Genomic DNA, 8,649 nt, shown 5'->3' with positions numbered 1-8,649 from the left:
TTTATATTTTTCTTTCTAATTTTCTATAAACTATTGTTTTCAAACCCATTATTAAAAGTTTCCTTCACATACGAGCTCTCTAGGCCCACATGAAAACTTGAAAACAAGTCAATTAAACAATTGCAGCTAGGAACAAGTAAGCACATTTTATTTTACCTCCTGGAAAAGGAGCCCAGCCCAAAGGAGCTCAGCTCCAGCAGTCAGCTGGAGACGAAGAAGGACTTCCTACCAGTAGCTGCTGAGTATCCATGGAGTTCCCCCATGACACTCAACCTGGGGGCTCCAGAAATCTGGAGAGGACAGGAAATGAGAGCAGACCCGCATCTCCTTGGAGGGTGTGGTTGGGGGTTTCCCCAGCAGGATGCCTGGAACCACGAATGCATAGACCTTAATGGATTAACAAGAGGACTTCCAACAGGACCCAGAAGAGGACCTAGCTAGGTGGCCAACACCCACATTTCTGTGGATTCCCTCTCCACTCAGCCCTTTTCTCAGCTCTCTGAAATTTGTGGTTATGGATGAAAAGATCATTCTGAGAAAGGTACCTCTCTCCCCACCTGCCGCCAGTCCATGACCTTAACATGGTTAGACTCACCAGACTTTGGATAAGTCCTCTGGATTTTCCAAGATATGGATTTTCACTTTATTTCACAATGCTTTGAGCAGTTCTTGAGTTTTTTCAGATATTTATTTTTCTCCTTATCTAGAGTGGACATGGGTGAGGCTCAGTGGGTTTTTCCTGGGGGCAGTGATCATCAACTCCTTGAAAGCAGTAACCATTCCATTTTTAAATTTATGGATTCAACCAATATTTATTGAGGATGTACCAGGCACTGTTCCAGTTGCTGAATTTCTAGTTCTGAGCAAAACAGATAGGGCCTCGACCTTTAAGGAACTTAGAGTCTGATGGAAGGGACAGGTGTTAAATTCACAATTACAACAATAAATATAAAAGTACACACCGTGATTGTACAGGAGACTGACAGACCAACAACTGGGCAGGAGTAGAGGGTTTGTGTGTGGGAAAGAAGAACCATGGAGGTTGGAAAAGAAGCACAGGGTGCTATGAAAGAGTATAACAGAGGCCTCAGTTAGGTTAGGAGGGGATCAGGAAAGGCCTCACAGAGGAAATAGCCTGAAAGATGAAGGAGCCTTAGCCAGGGAATGATTTGGGGACTGGTGGGGTCTGACTGAGCCCAGTAAGAAGTGGAGACAAGGGCATGCAAGGAGCTGGAAGGTAAAGAGGGGTAGATCCACAGGGTCTTCAGGAAGTGTGAACACTTCCATTTTAAGCCAAGTGCAGTGGGAATCCATTGATGGGTTTGGGGCAAGGTTGTAGGCTGATTTGGTTTCTACTTAGAGGAGATCACTCTAGCTGCAGAAGTGGAGGCCACAAATGGATGTGAGAAGACAGGTAGGAGGCTAATGGGGAGTGGGAGACTCTAGGTGAGAACTGTTGGTGCTGGACCTGGCAGGGCAGTTGAGATGGAGAGAAGTAGACAGATTGCAGACATACTGAGAAGGAGGAGCCAACAGGCTCTGGTTGTAGTGCAGGAGATATTACTGCAGGAGCAACTAAAATAGGTGGACAGTGATTTTGTTTTTGTAAGGGGAATACACTGGAGGGTCAGGTTTGAGGGGAAGGTCAGGAGATCCACTTTGGAAGTGTTAATGTTGAGGAGTTTGGGAGAGCAGCAAACAGAGCTGGCAAGGAGGCAGTTAAATATTAATGTCCTGGAGCCCAGAGGAGAGTCAAGGCTGCCTTCTCCGTGATGCCTGGCAGGGCTCTGCATCCACTAGACAGGCCCAATGCATGGCTGTTGACCTAAAGCAATCATGACCCTAAATGCTCACCTTAGTCTGCCACTTACCCTGGGGCTCCCAGGAACCCTCGTCTTTGGGAAGACTTAACAGTCACTGTCGCCACATTTTGGAAATGTTAAAGTCCAGTCACAAACACTCCAGAAAATTGCCTAGAGGGAACCAAAAGAGTTAAATGCATAGTAAGTATTAAAATTACTCTATTTATCCTTAAGCTTCCTCTCATCTTAAAGTTTGTATACTCAAGTCCCAATATAATAAAATCTGGATTAAGCTGTTGTAGAGCTTAATGGAGCCAAGTGCCTATGCCAAGTCTCAGTTAATACATTTTAAATGAAAACACACCAGCAAGATCTAGAACAAGGGTCAGGAATCATAAAATAAATACCACAAAAATAATTCTCCATTGTGAAATGACGGGTGTCATGCCCCTGGGAGTCTAAAATCTCTTCTGAATTAAACAATCTTTTCACTTGGAGACAATTAGCAAACTGTTGGCAGGCTCTGCTCTTACCTTGCGCGAGGGAAAGAGAAAGAAATTCAGAAAGTGAAGCCAGAAACTTGTCTACCTTTGTTTCCAAGCTTGGCTCTAAACACTGTCAAAATGTTATTGCTCTGGTTCGAGGAAAGAGACTGACAGACCAACAACTGGGCAGGAGTAGAGGTTAGTGCCTGGGAGAGAAGAACCAAGTTGTGCAAACATTTAGAGCCTTCTAGAAGCTGAATGAACTTCTATCTCTGGGGATACCTTTGTTTTCTGGGGGTCAGGGGTGGTGTAGTAAACTAATACTGTTTCCCATCCATCCCTCTAACACCAGTCTCATCTTGAATCCTGCCAGAGAACCTCGTGCTCCTCTTAGGGAAGTAACTGAACTACATTCTTTGCTCTGGTGACAGTGAAGGATGGGTCTCATCACCTGCGGGGGCTTGTTTTGCCAGTGCCTGCAGTCTTTTTCAAACCTCTACAGGCACTTTGTGTTCCTAGCTAATACTGGAGCAGTGCCCACTCCTGAAATGCTGAGCCGTAGGCCTTCTTTTCAGCTGCAGAGAGCTCTGTGCCCCCACAGAGAATGCCCTTCAGTCAGGCAAAGGCAGGGGCGAGACGCCATGTTTAAATTCAGACCTGCCTCAGAGTCTGTCCTCCTTGGGAGGCCTTGAGATCTGCATGTTTCTCAAAGGGACACATCCCAGCAGGAGGATTTCCTGTTGGTGCCACTATACTGGGTCTCGCTGAGTTTTAGCCTCTATGCTCAGCCTGTCATGCCAGTGCCCGCACATGGTAACTAAAATGCCCCTTTCACATTTCCAAACACTCCCCTAGAAGAGGTGGTACCTGGTAATAACCACTATCAGGGGAAATCCCAGAACAGAAGGAGTCAGGGACCCAGGGCTGTGTCTTTCTTCTACCTCAGTCACACCCAGGTCTGGGACAATCAACAGGAACCAATGCACCACTGTGTTACCAGCCTCTAAGCTGCCTCCTGCAAGCCTCTAAGCTGCCTGCCTCCCATGTCGCCCACCCTACCCAGCTCAGTCTCAGGTGGGCTGAGAGGGGCCAGCCGTGTTGCCATCTTCCCCACCTCTCATGGCTTCAGTGACAGCACATGTCGTGGCTTCTTCTCCTCACATGATAATCGGAGACACCTCTTCCTTTACAGTAGGACCCAGAAAGAGCCATTATTAACAAATGCCCCAATGGGCTTTTACATTTCTTGAGTGTGAGGATATGAGGGTGAATGAATAGTTTAATTATGTGAGCAGGGGCCTAGGAGTGGGTGCTGACATGACTGGTAGCTCCGTTGTTCTCAACAGACATATTGCTGCCACCTGACCAAAGCTAGAGTAAACACAGCCACACATCTGAACTGAATTTTGACAAGACCCTGTTTCCAGACTCTTCTTTGTCGAAAGCAGCTGTATCTACCACAAAATGGAGGGTTTGTCCTTGAAAAACTTAATAATGTCGAAGAGACAAGGGATGGCCAACTTGTGAATGGTATAAACACAGTGTCTCAAAACCACAGGTGATCCCAGGTGGTCAAGATGAAGGAAGAAAGAGGTCACTTTTCTGAGGGTTCACGCAACTAAGCATGTGTGAAATTCAGAGTTAACTGACAGAAGCACATGAGTGGCCCAGCATGGGTGATTCCCAACCTCACGGTGGGGCAAATGGACCACAGCAAAGGTCTCCAGGCCAAAACATGAGTATCATTTACCCTAATTAAATCTACTCTGCAGGGGGCCTGAGGCATGGCTATCATGCCTTGTGAGAACCTTTGGACAGCCAAGCAACTTGTAGCCACTATGTCTGGCTCAGAGAAAATAAACAGCAATCAACATCTTGGCCTAGATTATAAATTTAAATTTTTAGGGAAGTTATTTTCCAAGGTTGGATCAGTGTTTCACTTCATTATTACATATATATATATATATATATATAAAATCTTCATGCACATTGCTACTACTGGCTTCTGGCCAGGTCTACTCTGCCAAGAGTAGAAAAACTATGAGAAAAGCTTTTTTTTTTAACATTTCTAAACTGACTAGAAACAGAAGGTGCAAGGAATCTAGACAGCGGTTGGCAAGAGGAGAAAAAAAGGGGAGATGTATGATTTGGAGGCCAGAGTAGAGAGACATTGCAGAGGAAGAATATCTAGCACTCAAAAATGAATCTTACTGGGATGGGGATGAAAGATGGAAAAAGAACCACAAAAGGAAAACCCACAGTTCAAATCCGGATTCTGGAAGAATGCTGGAAGCCTCAGTAGATTTGGGGAGTCCATATCAGTTTGGTGCTTTCAGTGATTCCATCCAAGCTCATGATCAAGTTCAAAGGAACACCATGGACGGGGCTTATATCCAGAATTCTACCAGCTCAGAGTTTTCTCAAGGGCCTGCTTCCCACCTTCCAAACTCTTTACTCTTTTTTAATCTCACAGAATTTCATTTTGCTGTTTTTCTACCTAGAATCTCCTACCTGTCTCACCTCTGTGAATGGATGACACCCTCAGGTAGCCTGGCCATCTCTGATTTTCATCATCTCAAAACCCATTTTCTATTATCCACTCTCCACCCCATCACCTACATTGCAGCCCACTCCACGCTCTGCAGTTTTGACAAGTGAAACTCAACTTTTCATCTGGACAAAGGCTAGAATGTGCCACACAGAAGGCTAACTCAAGGTTCCAGTTGTCTGTGTCAAAAGGGAACAAAAGGAAGAACAAGGAGTCAGGAAGGGAACTTGGGGAGAATACAAGCTTGTTTTTGTACATGATAAGTACAAACTGGAAGTTGAATCTGGAGCTCAAGAGCTAAGAGAAGGAATACATTTTGGGAGTCAGCATAAAGGTAAAAGATGAATCCATGAAGGTGCTTTGTGTGAGCAATTTCCATGGCCACCTACAAATTCATCTACATTTAGACTCGTCCTTATATTGTTGCCCCTCATATCTGTATTCAAGATGAATCCCCCATCTACAGTAATAAGTCCATTCTTTCCCACCTCCTTGGGAACATTGTTCCAACAAGTAACTCCTTTCCTGTATCTTCAACTGTCTTTTACCACCAGCTCTTAATATTCAGCCTACAAACATGTCCAAATCTCTCTTATCTTTAAAATAACAACAAATTAATTAAGAAAAAAGAAAAAAATTCCCTCCTCTGGCCCTGATTCTCTCCAGCCACTGCCTTGCTTTCATGTTTTTTGCTTTCCCAAGAAGAAAAGAGATTTGCCTGGAAGAGGAATAGATACTCACTGCCTTTACTTCCTCATTTCCCATCAATTGTTCACTTGCTAAAGTCACCAGTAATCTCCATGTCTCCAAATCCAATGGATTTATTTCAATCCTTATCTTATTGGACACCTCTAGATATAACATTGTTGTTCCTTGAAATTCTCTGTTCCCTTTATCTCCATGGCTCCTCTTTCCCGGTTCTCCTTATTCTTCTTTGATCTCTTCTCATTGGCCTTCTTTGAAGAGCTCTTCCTCTACTACCACTACGTTGGTATTCTCCCAAGTTTTAATCTTGGGCCATATTTTCTGTCCTTTTGCATGTTCTCTGTGGGCAATCTCTGTGATAGACTTCTAATTTAGTTCCATTATCACTAGAGAACACATTCCGTATTATTTCATGTCTTTTAAATTATTGAGACTTGTTTTATGCTTTAGCATATGAACTTAATGAATGTCCATATGAAAATTAAAAGAATGAGTGTTCTGTTTTCATCATGGGGAGCTTTCTATAAATGTCAATTATATCACATTGTTCATATATTGTTCTAGTCTTACATATGCCTGTTGATTTTCCTCTCCTATCAATTAGAGAAAAGAGTGTTGATATCTTCAACTATAATTGTGAATTTGTCCATTTATCCTTTCAGTTATGTTAGTTTTTGCTTCATGTATTTTGAAGCTCTGTTATTGATGAATATACATTTAAAATTGTTTTGTATTCCTTATAAATTGATCACTTTTTCTTTATGAACTCTCCTTTTTCATCCCTGTAATAGTCCTTGTTCTGAGTCTACTTTGTCTAAAACTAATATGGACAATTCTGCTTTCTTTGGATTAGTGTTAATAGAGTATATATTTTATATCCTTTAACTTTTAATCTATCTGTGTCTTCATATAGTTTTTTGCAGGCATCGTATAATGGGGTCTTGCTATCCAATCTGACAATCTGCCTTTTAATTGGGATGTTTAGACCATTTGTATCTAATTTAATTATCCATATGGTAGTATTCCAGTATACCATCTTTCTATTTGTTTTCTATATGTCCTCTCTATTCTTCACTCCCCTTTCCCCTATTTTACTTCCTTCTTTTGAATTAATTGAGAATTCTTTATGATTCATTTTATCTCCACTACTGGTGAGCAACTAAGAAGTAAAATCTGGTGAGTGTGGTGTCATGAAAGTCAACGTAAAAGAATATTTCAAAAAAAATTGAAGTTATCAACACTATGTTAAATGCCTCTGAGACCTTGAATAAATATAGACATAAAAATGACCGTGGGGTCTTGCAACATAGAGGTCAATCTGGTGGCCTCAGTAGAAACAACCTCAGTGAGCTGGTGGGGTTATAAACCCAGTCTAACTGGGATGAGGAGAGAATAAAAGATGAGGACGAGAAACAGGTACCATGAGCAACTCAAGAAGTTTTGCTATGAAAGGGAGGAAAGAGAATGTGATGGTGATTCCTAAAGTATATGACATCAACAGGAATTATTTGTTAAGAAGGGAAATATTAGAACACATTTGAGTGCTGGTGAAAATGATTCTGTAAAGAGAAGAAGACTGATAGATTGATGTTAGAGGAGCTACAGGGAGCAAGTACCTTATCAGAAGAAGAAAAGGTAGGTTCTAGAACACACGTAGAGGGGGTAAATTTTGGTAGGAAAAGAGTCATATTGTCATTTGTGGGGAAAAAAAGCAGCAAATATGTGGGGCAAACATAAGATTGGCTGGTGATTTCTTTTTATGGAAAGAGGAAGGACTTTCTATATTACCCCATGTTCTAGAAGATGTGTAAGTAGAGATTATTAGCAGACGATGTCCATATGTAAAAAGTGCTATAACAAAAGGAGTTCTAGATCACAACATATGGACATAGAGGTTAGTTCCAGATGAAGAATCAGAGAGATCTTTTTAGAAGTGGTATTATTTGAGCCTGGTTTTGAAAAATGGGTAGAATGTAAATAGTTGTTCATTTGTTGGCAAATATCTACGGAAACATTATAACCACTTATGAGCTATGCCATAAGCCAGACAGGGTCACTGCCCTCAGAAACTGCTAGACAAAACTGGGAAGAGGTTCCCAGGCAGAGGAAAGAATAGGAGTAAAAGGAAAATAATTGATGAGAAATAAGGGAAATGGGCAAGTGATAACCAAAGTGTGGAAGAACATAGGTGGAAGACTAAGGAGTTACTGAAGATTTTTGAGCTGTGAAGCACTACTAATCAGAGTTATCTGTTATGGGGAGGCCAGAAAGCCAGGTAGCAGAGGGCAGGGTCCCACATTCATAAACAGTCTTAAATTGAAACTTTTGACATTATCTCCAAATGAGCTCATATACCCAGTCATAGCAATACATTGATAGAAATGAGAGAAGATGATGTTCATTCAGCAGATTTTAAACTTATGTCCTAATATTGGTCTACATAACCTATAATATCTATGAAATCCCACTTTTTTTAAACCCTATCATTTTTGTGGGTGGCACAATTATATTCAACTTGGATTTTCATGTTAAAAACATTGATTTGTTAAATGGAAATATTTAAAATATTCTACCATTTGAGGAACTTGGAAACTGTGTGTGTGTGTGTGTGTGTGTGTGTGTGTGTGTGATATATAGCAGAATTCTTAAAAGAATGGAAGTGATAAAGATGCAACTACTGAGAGGTTCTGCTTGGAATCACAGCATCATTACCTTTCATCAACTGAAAATAGCTTTCTTCTTTCTGTAGTCTTTTATGATATGCTAAGAAGCATCAGCTGATCAAGCAGATGGTAAATTATTACAGTTCTTTTATTAATGTCAACTCTGGTCTCATCATATTAGCAATGGTCACATATTGCAACTCATTCTGCCTTTGCAGGCACTCTGTACCAATTAATAGAATTTAATTCCAGTCCATTGACATTTTAAAAAGGGTTTCAAAGTAAACAATTTGATACAATTTAATTACAATGCTTTGAAATTCAGCTAAGATTAATGGAGTTAAAGAAGAACATACATAAAATTCTTGACAGACACAAAGTGATTACTAAATGAAACTATCATGAGAATACAAAAGATACTTATTTGAATTTCAATTAGCACTGAG

This window comes from Homo sapiens, chromosome 21, assembly GCF_000001405.40.
Source record: "Homo sapiens chromosome 21, GRCh38.p14 Primary Assembly".
NCBI classification, from domain to species: Eukaryota; Metazoa; Chordata; class Mammalia; order Primates; family Hominidae; genus Homo; species Homo sapiens.
Note: the sequence above shows the minus strand (reverse complement) of the source record.